General features: G+C 34.9%; 2 protein-coding genes across 8 annotated transcripts in view; one reads left to right on the forward strand and one right to left on the reverse strand.

Moving 5' to 3' along the window:
* Positions 1–20,008, forward strand: part of PSMD1 (proteasome 26S subunit, non-ATPase 1) — a 115,961-nt gene that overhangs the window by 50,073 nt on the left and 45,880 nt on the right. The gene's annotated exons all lie outside the window — the stretch shown is intronic.
* Positions 1,291–18,103, reverse strand: HTR2B (5-hydroxytryptamine receptor 2B). Of its 5 annotated transcripts, none has more exons than XM_006712482.4 (4): positions 18,033–18,103; positions 16,474–16,720; positions 6,790–6,990; positions 1,291–2,470 (listed from the first exon to the last, which is right to left on the reverse strand). In XM_006712482.4, the coding sequence occupies exons 1-4, from the start codon at positions 18,060–18,062 to the stop codon at positions 1,578–1,580; spliced, it is 1,371 nt and encodes a 456-aa protein (XP_006712545.1). In that variant the 5' UTR covers positions 18,063–18,103; the 3' UTR covers positions 1,291–1,577. The 5 variants fall into 5 exon arrangements, with proteins under 5 accessions (XP_006712545.1, NP_001307687.1, NP_000858.3 ...); NM_001320758.2 differs by having other exon boundaries at positions 16,474–16,808; NM_000867.5 differs by having other exon boundaries at positions 16,474–17,191.

Raw genomic sequence — 20,008 nt, forward strand, 5'->3', positions numbered from 1 at the left:
AATATAAATCTTAACATATGCCAAATCCATCATATTAGAGACCAGAACCAAAAACCAAAATAGAGAATGATTTTTTTTTAAGGAATGTAAATTATTTTGCCTCTTATGTGAGATAACCATCCCTAATGCTGCTGAAAAATCTTAGACTAGTAGTAGGGAAACATACCTAAAGCTTTGATGATTTAGGAATTAAATGTGTATGATATACTCTTCCCAGCAGATTATATATAGCCAGTAAGGAATCATAACAGATCAGGATTTATGTATTAGAGCCGCATTCTAGCAAAGGATTCTGCCACTGTGAAAATATATGCCTTGTTCACTTATACACTGAGATTCTCCGTAGCCAATACATTTCTTAAGGCAATTATCCTAAACTGAGTTGCCTGCAGAAGGACAGCAATAGAGTCATAGGTCGAGGGACAAATATGGGTGAACCTGAAAAGGAAAAGCTAAGGTATGAGTTATCTTCACTGCAGACCCCCTTAGTCTAAATTTGCACTTATAACAGGAGCATTAAAATATATATCAAAAGTAGATTGAATTGTCTACCATTTACTTAGTGCCTTCTATGTACTCATCCTCATAAGAATTGTATAAAATGCAGATGAGAATACTGGGGCTTGAAGAAATTAAGTATTTTTCCTAAATTTAATCAGCTGTCTGGTAAGTGGCACAGGTTGGACTCATTCTGAGATCTAACAGTGCAAAATAATATACTGAAAGGATGAATAAAAAATTTTGTGCTGGAAGTTCACTTGAGTCACTGGACAAGCATACATAGGCAGGCATGATCTCACTTAAAGTTTGTATCCCTGATTAAGATCCCATGCTTGTGCACGTTAATTAATATCTCTAAGAAACCTAATGTGGTTCAGGTACCCAAGAGCGATTTTATTTGCTTTTTCCTCCTTCTCCAATAGACCTACCTGTGCTGAGTAGAAGCTCAATATCAGTCATTTAACAAACAGGTCTAGTTCCAAGTTCTTGTTATTTTGTGTGATATCCAGCTACTATCCTCCCTATCCCTTCCATCAAAACAGTTTCCTGATCAGAGGAAAATTATGACTGCATTCAACTAAATCAGACTATAAATGGCAATCTTAACTCACCTCCAGATGTGATCACTGTTTTGTGCACTTATTTTTAGCTCTGTGTTCCTTTTGTTCTGTATCATGCCTTATGCTTTTAAGACCTGGAAGGCAAGGCTAATGTTTGTTTTGTTTTATTTCATTCTTAGCACAACTTTGCATATAATTAGAAACCAAATAAATTTTATGATGACAGTGGTTCTTTTTAAAGCCTGAAATTTATTGATTTGACTTTATTTCATTCGAATACCTTAAAATTTAACCAGAGTGCTGGATTGTTTTCATTTGTAGCTATATAAAATTATTTTCCTCATGGAATAATCTTGTCCAAATTAGGAAAATTAGATATTCTTAATACTTACATCTTAGGTTAAAGAGATGATTTGATATATGACATAAAATTCTTTATATAATATATTCTTGGCACATTTACATCTCATTCATCATCTTACTCATCATTATGTTTGATGACAACTGCCAGTTCTGCTATACATAACTAACTTGCTCTTCAGTTTTGTCACCTTCATTTTCAGTGAGGAGAAGCGTATCTAGTAGAATGATTGATGAAGACTGAATGGTTGAACTTCGGAGCCTCATTGGACTCTGGTACATGGCAGGGTTAATCCCATTTCGAATTCCATGTTTCTTGAAAAACTTAGAGTTCTCTGCCATTGGATTCCGGAAGTAGATCTTACTGGAGCGTTTTCTGAGAGTTTTTACTGACTTTGTGGCCCGGTAATTGCAGGTGATATATCGGCCAAATGCATCCCGAAATGTCTTATTGAAGAGGGTGTAGACCAAAGGATTCACTCCTGAGGAAACATAGCCTATCCACACAAATATCTCCAGGAGCATTTGGAGAGTAGTTTGGTTACAGGAATCACATAAAACTAAAGTTATATTTGTAATAAAGAAGGGACACCACATAAGCAAAAAGAGGAAAAACACAATCCCTAGGACCTTTGAGGCTCTCTGTTCGTTGGAAATGGTCTGCACTGACTTTTTCCCAATTGTGGATGTTCTTCGCATAAGTGTTTCATCACCTGAGTTGGGCAGAGCCTTGTCCTTTCGAGAACCATCCAGCATTGCCACCTTTTCCGGTGACGAGCAAGGTGTTTCATCCCTTTGGAAAACTGTAGACACAGTCAACCATGTTAGGCGTTGAGGTGGCTTGTTTTTGACTAAGTAAGCCTTCTTCTGTAAAGCATGGATAGTGAGAAAGTAGGTGACAATCATAATTGCAAGAGGTGTGAAGAAGGCAGCCAGTGAGCCAAAGAGCATGAAATCGCCAAAACGTTCCTTTGTCAGCACACAAGTGATATTGTTTGGGTTGTCCACATCAGTCTCTATCCCTTTAATAGGGACTGGAATGGCAATGCCTAAGGAAGAGGAAAACAAGATAAATTGAGTCATTTTATGACCTGTAACTCTTCGATTAGATCCTTTTGGATTGTATCCTTATAACTTTATGCTTGTTGGTGCATTATAATTCCTGGGACCCACAATGCAGGATTTGTCGAAGCATTCATCAGTGAAGATTTGACAAACAGAACCTAAGTGAGCAAATCTGTTTTTAAACGGAGATTGGTTAGTAATTTCAGATTTATAATGAAAGCTCCCCTAAAGCTATAGTATATCCATGATACAGTGGAGAATGTCTTCATTTATTCTACATTTCTCATAATCTATTTTTGTTTTTTAAGCTATCTCAGATTAAGGAAGAGAAATTCAGAAGAGAACCTGCTTTTTTCTTATTATCCAGTGTAGTTGATCTAGAGGCACTTCAGAGTACATTTATTCAATATCTTTACTCAGTTTTGTCTTTGAGGTTACAGTTTCATTTAACAGTTTTTCCTTTTGATATGTGTGAATGTCTTTTAATCCTTTCCATCTAACTTCTTAGGGAAAACTAAAGTTCATTAAAAAGTGCTACTTAAAATTTGAGTGTGTGTGAATCATGATGTTGAAAGATTATGAGTTCTTAATCTTTCTTCTTCTGTAGAAGCCTGGGCACAGTGGCGCTCATGCCTGTAATTCCAGCACTTTGGGAGGCCAAGTGGGGGTGGATTACTTGAGGTCAGGAGTTTGAGACAAGCCTGGCCAACATGGCGAAACCCCATCTCTACTAAAAATATGAAAATTAGCCAGGCATGGTGGCACGCGCCTGTACTCCCAGCTACTCAGGAGGCTAAGGTGGGAGAATCACTTGAACCCAGGAGGCCGAGGTTGCAGTGAGCCGAGATCACACCACTGCCCTCCACGCTCAGCGACAAAGTAAGACTCTGTCTCAAAAAAAAAGTTCTTTTATGACCTGGGAAAGAAATATACCTCATGTTAGTTTTCTGATCTTTAAATACCATGAAGTATTTAAATATGATGTTTCTTAGTGAAGTAGCTTATTAGAAAGACAAATAATACAGGGGTTAACCTGAATCTTTTTCCTTTGAAACAGCAGATATTTTTTAAATGTCTGAATTAATTGATCTTTAGAAACCTCTGGAATCCTTGTGTTGTTTTGTGAATCCAAGAGCACCCCTCATCTACACACCCTTTTTATGGTAGCTAAAGAGCCATTGACAAGAATATGTTCCTCAAACCCTTTCTAACAGAGGTCATTACTTTCTCTACTTTTCCTCATGTACACCACCAGAAAGAGGATTCTGTATACTTGTTCTACACCAGGGGTCATTATACTACAGTTTGAGGACCATTGGCCCACATTCTATTTTTGTAAAAGTTTTATTGGCATACTGCCACTCCCATTTGTTAGTAACATATTGTCTGTGGCTGCTTTTGTTCTACTGCAGCAGAATGGAGGAGCTGTGACAGAAACCATATACGCCCTGCAAGCCCAAAATATTTGCTGTCTTACCCTTTATAGAAAAAGTTTGCTGACCCCTGCTTTACCCTGTTACTTTCAGATCACCATTCCACTGTTTATTTCTCCCCCAAAACACTTGCCTTTTGAAGTTTATTTTATCTACTTAATACTTTCTTCTCCATCTTGCTTTTCTGTTAACCTCCATGACATTTGTTCATCTTCATCAATGGCTTCAGTACCTGCTATAGTCTTCTCTCCACTGTTCCAGTGCCAGCATTTTCTACTTCATCCCATTCGTGACCCTTCTAAGACCTTAATTTTATATTTCTTGAACTCTTTGACTCTAATTATTATTATTTGCACTAAAGCCATCTACAAGTCTACTTAGAACAATCCCTAAGATTATGAACTCTAATACTTCCCTTCCTTGTCCTGCTACCCCTCACTCCTAGAGAACTTCTGTTTCCTGTTATTTTTATCTCTAGTTCATTCATTCATCTCAGTTTTCACATTCTATTAACTCATTCTATTAATGAGACTTCATTCATCTCAGTTTTTACATTCTGTTAATATCAGGACTCACACTACTTTCCTATCCAGCTTGTTGGTCAATAACTGTAAAAGTTTTCACTGGTACTTTTTATGCCCTTACCCTGTTATATTATTATACTTTCTGTTGCCAGGTATTACCTAGAATAACTGTAAATCCAAAAGAAGAGAGTGAGCTCTCTTCAGCATTTTGTAGAATTTCAGAACTGAGCTTATTGTCATCTGCATTTTCATTTTTTCAAAGTTATTAATTTGTGATCGGTTCTACAAGACAAAGTGCAATGAAGTGAAAGAGCGTTGATTTTGGCCTTGGTGCTGAAAAGCTGTAAGAGTTCTTAAGCCAACTGATTAAAACCTCTAGGTTTCTTTTTTCTTACCTACAAAAGGAAGAAGTGGATTTCTAAATCTATATATCATGAGTCTTCCTTTTAATCTTTTTTCTCCTGCATCACTCATCACTTTGTGTTAGTGTAATTTGTTTATATGTCCGCCTTTCTTGAATGCAAAGATTCTTTTTCTTGATCATCTGTGTATTCTTAGTACCTAGCACATTATAAACACTCAATAAAAATGTGGTCAATTTATAAATTGATGGTATCCAGCCTTAATCTAGATGCCATTTATACCAGCAGGCTGCTTACCTTATTAGCTTGATCACATTTCACAGTTTCAAATATTTTAATTATTCTTAAGGATCCATTTCTTCAACTTTTTTTCCCTTTCTCTGTCCAACTCTCCCACCCCACCCCAATATACACATACCTCACACTCTCCCTTGCCCTCTCCCTCATTGCAGTGAGCTTACCAAATGTGAGTCATCTGGCATAAATGACTTTATTATAGTTTTCCTCCTCTGCACTTCAAATTTTAATTTTCACCCATTGTCTCCCATTCCCTTTCTGTAGCTGCTTTTGGGGGGCTGGTTCTGCTCTGTCGGCATCTGCCCCCTCATCTAGCCTTTTCTCACTGTTTTTAAATCTCTTCATTCTGAATAGACTTTTTCTTGACCCTGTTTTCTTCCCATACCAGAGGAGTAACACAGCTTGCTTTTACCTCCAAACTTTTTCAAAGAGATCAAGCCCTTATATCATCATTTCAGGAATATGAAGGTCAATCTCATTGTTTTGCTTTCTTGCTGTTTTTGCCCCAGTGCCCCTACTCAGATTAGGGAGGAGTAATTTAAGTATTCCAGGTCTCTTAATTTTTTGCCTCTTTGAAATATTTTTACAAGGAAGAAGAGAATCTGCTGGTCAAACCATTGTAATTTTTGCAAATCTATTTGTTTTTCTGATACTAACATATAAGAGTTTTGAATGATTTACGCATACTTCATGATAAGAAGTATAGCTTTGAGTATTATAGATGAGTACAGGGCCGTAAGACGATTTAGAAGAAAAAGGATTTCTTTTATACATAATTTCTGAACATCGGTATGTTTTCTTTGCATCTCTCTTAAAACTTTGAATTAAACATACTCAAAACACTTAAGTGCAGTGACTCACGCCTGTAATCCCAGCACTTTGGGAGGCTGGGGCAGGGGGATCGCCAGAGCTCAAGAGTTTGAGACCAGCCTGGGCAACATGACAAAACCCCACCTCTACCAAAAATACAAAAATTAGCCAGGCATGGGGGGTGTGTCTGTAGTCCCAGCTACCTGGGAGGCTGAGGTGGGAGGATCGCTTGAGCCCGGGAAGTCGAGGCAGCAGTGAACCATGATTGTGCCATTGCACTCTAGCCTGGGTGACAGAGCAAGACCCTGTCTCCAAAAAAGAAAAAACAAACCAAAAAAACCCACTGAAGCAGACACTTAACTGCCTTTAATCTGTACACATATGTACAGAAATGTTGGCTTCCAAGATGAATTTGTGTTCTTTGATACCTGCCCACAAAATGTTTGAGTTGTTATTTTTGTTTTTTCTCTTATTAATCTTTTAAAATGTGATTTAAGGTGCATTTCTTGTTATTTTAATGTAATTACAGGATTCCAAATGCTAGCTAGACCATAATTATCTGTTGGGAAATATGAAGACTGTTCTCAAACTTAACCTTTCTGCATATAGAAATCTAAGCAGAAAGAAATCTCAATAAACACTGTGCAGATGGTTCTTTCTGAGGACATGAGTTTTGTTACTTGTCACACTTTTTACCAACAGTATGTTTTAGAAGGCGTATGATAAATGCAGTGACATAAGGAGCTTATGTTAATGTATCAGTAGGCTGGCTTGACCTCTCATGCTGAGTTTCATTGCCTACCAGACCTGGTATTCTCCTAGCCAAGTGGAACCAAAGATTTTGTATACCACCCACACTCTGGCATTCTCTACATACCTATTGAAATTAACCACACCACTGTAATCTTGATGAATGCTGTAGCCCGTGAGTTATATTGATTGGCCTGGATTGGCTTTTTGATGGCTATGTAACGATCCACTGAAATGGCACAGAGATGCATGATGGATGCGGTTGAAAAGAGAACGTCAAGAAATAACCAGGCAGGACATAGAACAAGTGGGAGGGGCCACATAGCCTCTGAAAGAAACAAAAACAAGACAAACATTTTATTCTATAAAATGGCAACTTTCAGTCTACAGTTTTTCAGGTGATACATCTTTTGTCTTTTTTGTTACTCATCTGAAATTTTATAACTTTAACAACATAATGTTTAACTTCAGATAATGGAGACAACATTAAATTCAATATTTCTGTGGATGGTAACTTTTAAATACATTTTCTATTTTGCATAATAATTGTGCCTTTTTTCTAAGTCAGCAGCAGTTTAACTTTTTAGCATTATTATGACCTTTGCTCTTTTGTCGATTCCATTTGTGATCTTTTTAAAATTTATGTAGTATTGTGACTGGAACTTAACCTTGGTATTTAAATAAAATTTATTTTTAAGTAGCTGTTGTATAAAAAGAAAACATTTTACCATGTAGAGGAAACAGTATGACAAAAAGCGTATTAGAATGGGAGTCTCTGTGACACCTGGGTTTTGGGCTCACTTCTAGCAATAACTAGCAGCAAGATCCTTGTTTATAGCATACTCTAGTTTGGTGAAATAGTGGAGTGATTTTTTTGACAGAAATAGTTCTCAAATAAAGATTGCAAAAGGAATGGCTTCAGATTATCCGGAAGAAAAGTAGATTGTTTCCCCTTCTATATTTCATCATTCACTCCAAAAACTGGAGATAAAATAATTAGTACAGACTTTTGATTTGAAAAGAAAATCTCAGGGTTAGACGTAGTACTTAATTTATTTAACAAACTCTTATAAAACACTGCATACTTCATATAGTCTTAAGCACTTTAGAAATATTAACCTTAAAAAAATTTTAGGTGTGGATGTGATATTGAATATTCTGCATAGTTTTCTAATAAATTTACTTACACAGATGTTCATACATATGTGAATTTAATATATTATGCATTATATATTACACCCACCACTTAACATGTTTACAGTTTCAAAACAACTAAAATTTTAGAATTCCCCCTAGAATATTTCCATTAGAATCCAGTTTAACTCCTGTAGAGAACAGATGTCATGCATGTGAGATTATCTAAGTCTCTTTTAGGATTTGATTGTTATATGTCCACTGATAAAATGTAATCTACTTTTCTTCTGGCTATTGCAGGTATATCTGACTTTGACAGGTATAAAGTGATTGTCATAATTGAAGGAAAACCAGAATAATCATCTCAGGATTACAGAACAACAAGAGACTCTTCTATTGTTAACTGTTTAAAATTTAAGGAGCCTGGGGGTGGAGAGAGATTAAAATCTCAGACCAAAAAAAAAAAAAGCATAATTTAGGGGCAGAGTTTTTAGATAGATTTGGCTGTTATTTTCAAGCATCAAGTAGGAGATTTTTTTAAAGTCAGGTAGGATTTCAGTGAAAAATATCTGGGCACTTGACAAAGTATCCAGAAGGTAGCAAGGCTGACACATCTACTTTTTGGTGCCTTCTGTTTCCAGAGTTGGTATGTGGCATTCTGAATAAGAATATTAAAATATTTCTTCCTAGGAACAAAATAACAAAATCAGCACAAACTTTTACTCAGAAAGAATAAATGATTGGGACTTAGTTCTATGTTCAGCAGCTTCTTAAAAAGGGATTAAAGCATCAAGTGGAAAGGGTCATTCATACTTTTCAGTGTATTACTGTAAATAAACTTTGCCTGCTTGTTGAATTGGGGGTAGGAAGGGATAGAGGTGGTAAATTTTAGATTTATTGAGCTGGAAGGAACCTTAGAGATTACCATTGATCTTGCAGATGAGTAAATTCAGGTATAATTAAGTCTGAATATAGAGGTAAGGAGGGGAGGCATTTATTTATTGAAATGTAAATGTTATCTGAAAGTGTTATTTAGAACTGCCACTCAGAGTTTGCTCTTAAGATGGAGAGTGAGGATCGGCATCACCTGGGTACTTAGATATGCAGGCTCTTGGGTCTCATCTCAGACCTACTGTATCAGACTCTGCAGTTAAATAAGGTTTCCAGGTGATTCGTATGCAAATTAACATTTGAGAAGCAGTGCTTTGGAAGACTTTCTGGTAAGGTTTGTGTCTGAGTCTTAAAAGATGCACCTAAGTTTCCTGTTGTAGGGTTGGTTATAGGCACTTGGAATGTCTCATGGAAAGGAACTAATGGGAGGCCTCTCAGAATAAATTAAGTCAGAGAAACTGGTGTTTGGAGAAAATCTAATCAATTGGATTTTCTCACTCTTAGCCATAGCATTCAGATTTTTTGTCATTTAGTGGAAAAGGACCTTGGACACAGGCAGCTTCAAAGCGAACTAACAGTCTAAGTATAGTGAAAAGAATCATTTTAGAGTTTGCAGTGGAAACTACTAAAAATGAGGGTACATCTTGAGCTGAAGTTCTAGATTTAGGACTGTAAGTAGGGTGGTAGGAAAATACTCGTCTAGAGCTATAATCAGAGATATTGATTGCAGTTAAGGATTTAAAAGGCAGGTAATTATTGTGTTATATCTTAGATTTCCTTCCTTGAAGTCCTTACTCTCTCTGTAACATCTTTTAAAATAGTTTGCCAACTATTTAAACCTGTCTATTTAGCTATTCTAGTTATGGATTATACTTCTGAAGATTAAGGTTTGGAAAATTCTAGTCATAAATCTAGTTGCCATAAGCAGGAAGCCATAAGAAAATTCATATAAAAAGTACGTGTCTTTGGAATTTGACCATCTGATCCACATACTCCTAATTGTGGGCTAAGAAGGAAAGTTTTTTAGTGCTGATTTAAGTAACCCTATGAAGCCCTGTTAGCCTCACTTTAAACAGAATTTATAAACTCATTCCCACTTAAAATTCACTAGAATTTTCTTATTACAGTTAGTGCTTTATTGTTAACAGAAATATTGAGATGTGATACAGAATTTTCTTTAAGAAAGAATGAGACTGAAATTTATAAGAGAGATGAATCTTTACAATTCCAAGCCTTTCTCATTTCAAGTTTCGTGAAACACTGGTGGATAGTTTTAATGAAACTAATATAAAAGAAAAAGATAACTGCATTAAATTAATAGAAACCTTATATACAACACAAAAAAGAAAAAGAGGCTTTTTTAAATGCCTAATATATTTGGGTAATCTAAGAATTTATAGAAATTAAAAACAGTTCTAGACACACTTGTTTTATAAAGGGGCTTTTCCTAGTCTAGAGACTTTCATTCTAAAATCATTTTTTAGTTAGTATTAATTTAGCTCAAAGTCAGAAAAGTTTATTTCTGTTTAGAATAACTAAATTAAAGGTTAAGTTGGTATGGTGAAATACTTTATTTCAAAACGTTTATTTTAGGAGTTTTGGTTTTAAGAATTTCTAATTACATTATTTGTTATAATGTATTCTGTCCAATATACTTCCACAAAGACTTAAGACATTGAAAATTTGAAATAATGAAGTGAAACAGTTACATACTTAAATGGAAAGAAAGAAATGTGTATCTAAGGGTCAGTCTGAGGGAAACAAGTTACTAGGTTCTTCAACTAAATTACTGTTATTCTGGGGCTCTAAATTAGACTCTTTCATTAAAATTAAGAAAGAATAATAGCATTTCTGTCAATGCCTGAAATAATTACAGACTGAATATTAAAGCAACAAAACAAGTCCTAGATGGGTCTTGTCTTATAGACAATTGTTTAATTATCTAAAGAATATCAGTAGCACAAATATTTTATTGTTTAAAATGAAGACTGCTTTAAATTCTGCCATGCATGAGGGATGGTAGGAGTTGTCATTCAGTTATATAAATTTTTATTTGTCTCCCAGACAAGGTTCAACAACTTCATAGGTATGGGCCTAGGTCTAATACCTTCCACAGAAAAGAGATCTTGCAGTCATCTGAAGGATTTGTACAAGTATAGGTTGACGCACAAGTATTCTTTTCCACTTAATATGAAATATAACTTTAACTGAAAAGAATACTGAGTTCTAACTTGTCCCTAGGGGGGAAAAAATTCTGTGATCCTCTGAACAGTTACATGGGGTTATTTAAGGTATAAATGTTGGTTCTGTATGCCAAATATGACAGTTTTGGCTGGTCAGATTTCTCATTGACATTTGAGAAAGCGGAATAATAAAGGTTAAGAGTGTGAATTCTAGAATCAGTCCTCCTGGGTTTAAATCATGTCTCTGCCACTTACTTTGTAATCTTGAACAGATTACTTATCCCTCTGCTTCTCTGTCCTCTGTAAAGTGGGGATAATAGTACCTGTTTTATAGGATTTCTTTAATAGAGTTTATATGGATGATGATTAAATACATGTGAAGTGTTTAGAACAGTTCCTGGCATAAAGAAAACACTCAATAAATGTTAGTGCTTATTACTATTGTTTAACAGAAACTAGCCAACTAACTCAACCATGAAAACACTCCTACATAGAAACAAGCCAAATCATCAGTATGAAATAAGAGTGTTTGTCTTTCTACCTGCTGTAGCAAAAGTGCATGCATCTGATTCAGCTTAAAACTTTAAGCTGTACTTTCCGGGGGTGAGGGAGGATGGGCTGAGAACAGTTAACTCTGTTTAACTTTCAATTGAATTTGTCATAAAAGTATGTTTTTTACTAACGTTGAATTTTAACTGCTGTTTATTTTATATACGGTACAGGAAAATAACCTGTATGCATTGCATGCCTGGGTTTTTTGTTGGTTTGGGTATTTTTTTGTTTGTTTTTGCTTTCTTTTGAATTAGTACAAAAACCTGAGGAGTTTTACTAGAAACCCCGTATCTTGATGAGGCAGACTTATTTTATCTGAAACCTGCTTAACCTTTGGGCAGCTTTTTAGTTTGGGAAGTCAGGTTACACTATTTGTCCGGAAAATAATTAGCATCAGTCCATAAATCTGGGACATAAAATGTTTCCCTTTGGAGGATGTAAAAGACTATTTTTAAAGGCATTCCAAGTGGGCTGTTCCTATAGTTTACAGAGGTACTCAGTTCATGAACTTATTGCAGCAGGACAAATCATAAATACTTCTTATGTCCAAAAAGAACATAATTTTCAAATATACATTTATCTCAGAAATTCTAATGCTTCTGTCTTTATCTTCCAGAAAAGAAAGACATAGTTCAGTTCAAATTATTGTTTAAAAGTTTCTGTTTTGTTTTTTACTTTTTTCACTACATTTGAGCATATGAGTTATCCTGGGGTTCAGTGTCTAATATGATAGTGTTTTAAATGTTTTAAGCATTTTAATGCTTACAGAATTTTTTCCTGGTTTTTAAAATTTCCACTTTACAAAAAGAAGTGCCTTTAATTCATTGCTTTTCTCCTCCATTTCAGAATTGGGTAGGCTAACATTTTACTGCATAAATGAATAACTGCCATTTTTCTCTTACTGCTATACATTTGTTTCATCTCTGATTAGACTTGCATCTCAACTAAATCATATTTAATTTGCATGCAGTACTCTACCAGTTACTATTAGTGCTTATAAGATGCTGGGCCCTGCTTGACAAGGTGATTGAGCTCTGAAATAATAAGTGATTGAACTCTGAAATAATAAGTGACTTGCCTGATCCAACACGGGAGAACCAGGATTCAGACCCTGGGATGTCTTGCTTCAAACAGCCATCTTTCAGCCATTTTATATACTCTTTCAGCTATACCACGGATACTGTTTGAACTTATAGATCATGAGGCATCAATTGAAACTTAAGTTATAGCCAGGTTTGGTGGCTCATGTCTGTAATCCCAACACTTTGGGAGGCCGAGGCAGGTGGATCACCTGAGGTCAGGAGTTCAAGACCAGCCTGGCCAAAGTGGCAAAACCCCATCTCTACTAAAAATACAAAACTTAGCCAGGTGTGGTGGCCTGCGCCTGTAGTCCCAGCTACTCGGGAGGCTGAGGCAGGAGAATCGTTTGAACCTGTGGGTGGAGGTTGCAGTGAACTGAGATCATGCCACTGCCCTGCAGTCTGGGCAACAGAACGAGACTCCGTCTCAAAAAAAAAAAAAAAAAAAAAACTTATAAATAAACCAATAACACCCAATGGATGGCCAGATGCCATATCTTCCCGTGTTACTTTTTTTTTTTTTTTTCCCTGAGACAGAGCCTCACCCCGTCACCCAGGCTGGAGTGCAGTGGCACCATCTCGGCTCACTGCAACTCTGTCTTCCGGGTTCAAGCTATTCTCCTGCCTCAGTCTCCCGAGTAGCTGGGACTACAGGCGCGTACCACCATGCCCAGCTAATTTTTGTATTTTTAGTAGGGACAGGGTTTCGCCATCTTGGCCAGGCTGGTCTCGAACTCCTGACCTCAGGTGATCCATCCGTTTCAGCCTCCTAAAGTGCTGGGGTTACAGGCATGAGCCACCGTGCCCAGCCTCCCCTGTTACTTTTTAAATCACTTATAAAATGAAACAAAGATTCAGAGAAGCTCTTAAATGGTGAACATCCTGTCTTTTTTATATCAGCATAAGGTGTTGTTTTCTTGCTCAAGTATTTCTAACGTAGGTATTTTCAAGCCTTGTGTTATAAGCTGTTGATTTGTGATCATGGATTTTAGGAATTATGGACAAGACAATAAAAAACTACAACTGTAAAGATCAAGTCCAGTGCTCCCAGATAGGAAGAAGTGGCAGAAAAATTGACCTAGCACAACTCATTTGAAAGACAATGTTGTGCCTGAGTTGTCATAATCTTGGGAAAATATGAATTCAAACCGTATATTGTTAAATATTATACAGATCAGTGGTTGAATAAAATATCTCTCAGTATAAGGACAGAAGGTCCACTTTTATATTTTACTGCTCTTATTTTTAAAATTTCATTTTATTAGACTACGAGCTAGTATAGTTTTTGTGTTACTTTCATTGAATTCCCCTGCGATAGCTAAAATTATTGCTCATAGTGATAGTTAATCTTTTATCATAGAACCAAGAACGCTTGTTTGTACAAACGTTAGAAGTCCTAAAGATTAACACTACAATAAGAGTGTAAAGTCTAATTCTGCCTTTTAAAGTTATCAGAAGTTCTTATAAATGCATTAGTTTAGAAAAATCTTTGTGTTTATTAACTTGCAAAAGGTTATAAAAATATCTTGGTATTTGAAGTCAGGTTTCCATTTGTAATACATGCAGTTCCCAATTTATGAATTCATCCTTTGAAGTTTGTTAGAGGGCAACATGTGTTTTTTTCCTACATTTTTTCATAGAAATTGAATTATGCTTTAAATAATGCAATAATGTATTAGATAGTAGTTCACAGATTTGTTCATTTTTTAAAAATCTACAAACCCCACTATACAACTTATTTCTGATAGTAAAAGTGTTTGGGGCTATAAAATATTTTATTTTGTAATTAGAAATTAACAAACATGAGCCAGGCATGGTGGAATGTGCCTGTAATCCTAGCTACTTAAGAGGCTGAAGGCAGAGGATCACTTGAACCCAGGAGTTTGAGGCCAGCCCAGGCAACATTGCCAGACTCCATCTCTATTAAAATAAATAAATAAAAATAAATTTAAAGTTAATAAACATTTGGAAGAATGAAATAATATTAAAATGTCTATCAATTATTTAAGACATAAATATGAAGACATTTCACATATTTTATGTTAACATATGTTGGGTTTTCTGCTAACTTGTATTGCTAAGGATATGTTGGGTACCAGCATTTTAAATATACACTTAAAGTTTTCAGCTGCTGGATACCTATTTTTCTATAGAATACATGGAATCTATTAAACAGGTAAATCTTTGTTACCTGTTTTTGTATTTTGTTTGTTAGCTCACTTTAATTCTATGGTACTTTGCCTTTTAAGATTCCTTAACTATTTAGCTGATAATTTAAGTATCTACCATGGTACTTTGCATATAATAGATGTTTGATATTTATGGACTCAAAGATTTTAAAGCTAAAATTCACTTCTGCATAATTCTTTCAATATCATGTATTGAATGACGTATTAAATTTTATGGTAGTCTGAAATAAGCATTTTGACATTTTCTGTGTGCCTAGCAAAGCACAGTTTGAAGAGTATGATTTTACATCTTAAGCTACTATTATGCACATGGAGATGAGAGCTAGAATCATATGCCTGTACAGTATTTATCAAATATGCATATATATTTCTACATAATACTTTCTTTTAAGCTTTATTCAGAATTAGGGTTATGTTCTCTATTATAGTAAGATTTCTTAATTATTTTTCATGGTTTCATGCAGCATTAGATTATTTAAAAGATTACAAATTTATAAAACAGGGAGATAGAAAGACTGTTAATTATTAGAAAGTCTAATTAAAGCAGTAGAACTTTACTCATTACTGCTTGTCCTGCCACATAATTTTCTTGATTTATTTTAAAGCCCAGGTAAATGTTGATTTAAAATGGAAGGTGTAAACCTGTTACTATCTGATAATAGTTTTAGATATCTTTCTGTTATTACTTATAAAATTGTAATGTGTAAAACCTGGGTATAATAGTTGGAATAGCAGGGGTTTTTTACCTTCTAATATGGATTCTAGTTTAATAAATTTTACTTCTGTAACTTAAAATATTTTTATCTTCATATAAGTAAATATAATTCTAAGAAACTATATCTGCCACAAGTAATCATTTTGCTTAGGCAGTTTATGAATGGAATATCAGTTTATACCAAGCATTGAATAAGTTAAATATCCTTTTAATGCTGATTCCAAGGGTCTAGGAGCCCTCATAATTCATCAGCAGAATTATTTGTGTTTATCCAAATTTTATAACTAGAGATGATATGCAGAAATCTGGAACTACTTATATCTTTTTTTTATTATAGCAAACTAAGATTTCAGTGTCAAACTATACCTTTTATTATCGCAATAACTAGGTTTTAATCCACTTACCAACTTAGAGGCCTATCAGGAACACAGATGCCCATATATCATAAAAAAATTGAATCGATAGATCATCTCTTTGGACACTCTGAGCCAAACCATTTCCTTCAGCAACTAAACATAATTTTTCTTAACATGACACATATGTAGGAATTGTGTTCAAGTTTATAATATACAAACTATTAAGAGCTATAATAAGAATTTTTGGACAGTTCCAATTTTAAACTGGGGTTTAGTGATTTAAATTGGGATTTAGTAATTCAAAGACCTTATCGTTAACCCAGCGCATATCTGTCCCGGAAGTGTCCTAGTTATTGCTTTGAGGAAAAAAAGTATCAGTGTAGAAAAGTTAAAGTATAGGCCTATTTACTATAATTTATAGATAATATATTCAGAATCTATAAATATCACTAACTTGAATGACTTTTTAAATGATTTTATTAGATAGCTTAGGAGGGAGAAAAATAGTTTACAAAAAATATTTTTTGCTCTTTAAAACTGCTGATCAACCATAGAGAATGATATAAAACAAGGGACTGTTTACTTGCCGTATCTTTAAATAGTCCAAGTTCATCTTTTATTTCAAGAAAAGTAAAGATTAAATGAGTGTCCATTCTCTAATAGTATATCATAGTTCTGTGGTTTGATGGCACAAACAAAGTGAAATACTTACCAAACATTATTGTCAAGAGGGCAATTGGCATCACAAACAATCCAACCAGCAAATCAGCCACCGCCAAGGACATTAGAAAGTAATTAGTAGCATACTGCAGCTTCTTCTCCAGTGAAACAGCCAGAATAACAAGGGTATTTCCACCAATTGTGGGTATTATCACCATGAGTATCAGAAGAGCTGCCCAGTGCAGTTTATTTCCCTGTTCCTCAACAATCTGTTTCATTTCCTCTGGTATTGATTCTGTCTGTAATCCAGACCAGTTAGAAGAGATAACGTGAACAAAGGTGCTCTGCAAAATGTGCTCAGGAATTGTGCTTTGAAGTTCAGACACTCTGTAAGAGAGAGCCATTTGCTGTTTTTCTGTGATTCAATCCCGTTCCGAACAGTGGTCAGCATGGTTAGTAGCTAAGCTGCTCATCTGTTTTTTTAAGGCATTGTAACCATGCCAAACACTCAAAAGCCAAAGTTGACACCTTCCTTTAAAAAAAAAAATTCAAGTTCTCTAAAATGAGCGCATACACACATCTGTCCATGTTTGTAGGTAAGATATCCAAGTATTTATTATTTTCTAGAGGCTTAAATTTAGGAAAGCTCAGTGAAAGAAACTGATAGCTGTGAAAAAAATAGGATATATATATATTTTTAGTTTCTCTCTCTCTCTTTTTCTGCCGTAGTTGTAGAGTCGTGTTTGAACTTGCATGCCAGAGAGTTCCCCCTAGATACAAAATACATAGACTGCATTATTTTATTCATTTCTGAAAGTGGTAAAAACACTTGAACTTCATAGCCCTTCCCTTCTTAGTAAGTCTGTTGTGCATTTGTGACAATGCAGCCAATTCTCCAAATATACTGTATTTCTGATGTTGCTCAGTTAATGAAACAGAAGACACATTAATTTTTTCAATGGTTATAATAAAAAGTTAGGTGTTTCCTGACCCTTGAATGTCTTTTTACCTTTACTTACAGAAGAATAGAAAAGTCGAAACACAATAGTTCAGAATAGAACTTTTAGTATGCGCTGGCCACCCACCTAGAAACACTCAAAGCCCAACAAGGGTCTAAATAAATGTTTTACCAGCTAGGGATCCTTATATGTAATTAGCTTTGTCTTATCAGGTTTGTGAGTACTGATATAAATGTCATTTTAGATTTCCTTTAGTTTGAGAGAAGGAAAAAAAAAGGTATTACTAGGATCCAAATAATTGTGTTTAGTAATTTCATCTCTCATGGTATGTCTTTGCAACAATTGTGTTCTAAATTTAATCACTAAATTTGCCAAATTCAAACCAGTTCTTTTTTTGTTTTAAGTAGTGTTTATTTTTTTAACCTTCCCAGTTGCCTTGAGAAGAAAGGGAAACCAAAAGGAAGATTAGACCATTTATTTGTTCATCAAATGTACAAATCACGTTTTTAAAAACTCTCCTTTAGCATTAGTAAATTTTTCATTTTGATTTTTAAACCGCTGAATAGAAATGAAAGATTATGATAGCAGAATTCTTGAAGATTAAAAAAAAAAACCTTTAGATTAATTCCATATGTGTTTATTAAATGCTTACCTCTGGTTTCGTTGTTATTTTGCTGAGCATGTCATCTTATCTGTTCACTAGACTTGCTTGCTGCTGTGACTGAAATCCTCCTCCCATTGACTTATTCTGAGCCTCCAGCACAGGCGGTTGAAAGCAGTGAAACAAATACGTTGTATAGCTGCAAGCATGCCAAGGAGGTTATTTCCTCTTTGATACATTCATTTTTAGAGAGTAGCAGCATTCATTGTAATTCATAAAACCACTGTTAAGCATGTTGAACCAGTTCATGGCCCTTATTCAAGTTATATTTTTAAGAGCTCTCTTTAATATTTGGGGGGACTGTAATAAACTTGATCATTTTAGCTTCAGATAGTTTTGTTTGGGGTTAAGCCTGAGCTGTTTTTCACATTTGAGAAAAAATAAGATATAATCTAGCTATTTTAGAGGTTTCATTCTTTGAAGATTCTGCCGTTTTAAAAGCCTATAGTGATTTCTACAGTTCTGATTTCTAGCAGTGAAACAAGATTCTTATCTAGCTTTTGTGCCTTTGCTGTGGAACACCATTAATTTGCTCTGGTTGCAACCTTATATAGAAGAGCACAGAAAGGCCTGAATTCTACATGTATACATAGGTTTTAGCAGAAACTTTTTTACTGCTTATTTTTAAACAGATGATCTCTGGGTTTAGGAGTGGTTCACAGCTTTTTTTCCCCATAGACTTTACGTTGGAGAAAATACAAGTAATGAAAATACGTTTTTGCCTTATTTCAGAAAATTGGTGTTTAAATCTTAATAGTTATGCTATTTAAGTTTTCTGTAACCATAAGACTAGCTTAGTATTAGAACCTCAGCATTCTCAAGGTTTCCTTTTAAAAGATCATTATAGATGCATATTTTAAAATTAATTACTTATAAATCAGTGATGACATTTGTGCCCTTTTCTTGTTTCAAATTTGTATTCCTTTGCTCATGTTGAATGTTATTGGAAAATACTTAGTTCATTTTAGCTCTGCTGAGCACTTCAGATTTTATTCAGTATTTGCTGCTTTTTTAAAAACTCAAAATTTACTATATTAGAAAAAATACTTGTGAAGAATTCTAGATGAAATAATATTCAAGAGAAATCAGATGTTTTTTAATGTACCAGAATTTCTATTCAGGAATATGAAAATATTTTAAGGCAAGGTGCGGTGGCTCATTCCTGTAATTCCAGCACTTTGGTAGACCAAGACAGGTGGATTGCTTGAGTCTAGAAGAGACCAGCTTGGGCAACATGGCAAAACCCCATCTCTACAAAAAAAACCACATAAATTAGCCAAGGGTGGTGGTTCACACCCGTAGTCCCAGCTACTGGGCGGCGGCGGAGGGGTTGAGGGTTAGGGGTCAGGGGAGACCTGAGGCAGGAGGATTGCATGAACCTGGGGGAGGTCGAGGCTGCAGTGAGCTGAGATCACACCACTGCGCTCCAGCTTGGGGTGACAGAATGAGATCTTGTCTCCAAGATTAAAAAAAAAAGAGGAAAAGAAATTATTTTTAAATACTGCTTAGTTGTGAGTTACACTTTGACATCTGTGCTTATGAAGGCAGGTAGGGATCTGCAAAACAAGTAATGTCAGATTGAAAATAGCAGCACCATTTTATATCCAGTGAAAAGACTTGTATGAAATAAGCCTTTATTGATTTGTTTATAGATAAAATTTTTTAAATATTAAGTATATTATAAAAATGCAGTCATTGTTGTATTTTGCCTGTATTAATCCTTTCACTCACATTCACTCATTTTTTGCCTCAACTTATAAAAAGTAAGATTGGTACTCTGATTTTTTTTATTTTTGCTTTTTTAAGTCTGTTTAATGTCTAAGGAACGTAACTAGTTAGAACAGCTACTTATTTGGCAATCTCAAGTTATGGGAAGCATAGCTGAGAATCAAGAAAAAAGCAAAATAATAATAAATAAATAATTATATAAAAGGATAGTTGAGTCTCAGCAAATAACTAAACCTGTG

Source organism: Homo sapiens, chromosome 2 (genome assembly GCF_000001405.40).
Source record: "Homo sapiens chromosome 2, GRCh38.p14 Primary Assembly".
Classification (NCBI taxonomy): Eukaryota; Metazoa; Chordata; class Mammalia; order Primates; family Hominidae; genus Homo; species Homo sapiens.

Bases quoted from the DNA above. Each gene is read 5' to 3' on its own strand.
- HTR2B (NM_000867.5), bottom strand. From the start codon at position 16,825: ATGGCTCTCTCTTACAGAGTGTCTGAACTTCAAAGCACAATTCCTGAG. The intron at 6,991-16,473 runs GTAAGTATTTCA...TGTTTCTTTCAG, and splicing joins CCTCTTGACAATAATGTTTG to AGGCTATGTGGCCCCTCCCA. The intron at 2,471-6,789 runs GTATGTAGAGAA...CCTCTTCCTTAG, and splicing joins GGTGTGGTTAATTTCAATAG to GCATTGCCATTCCAGTCCCT.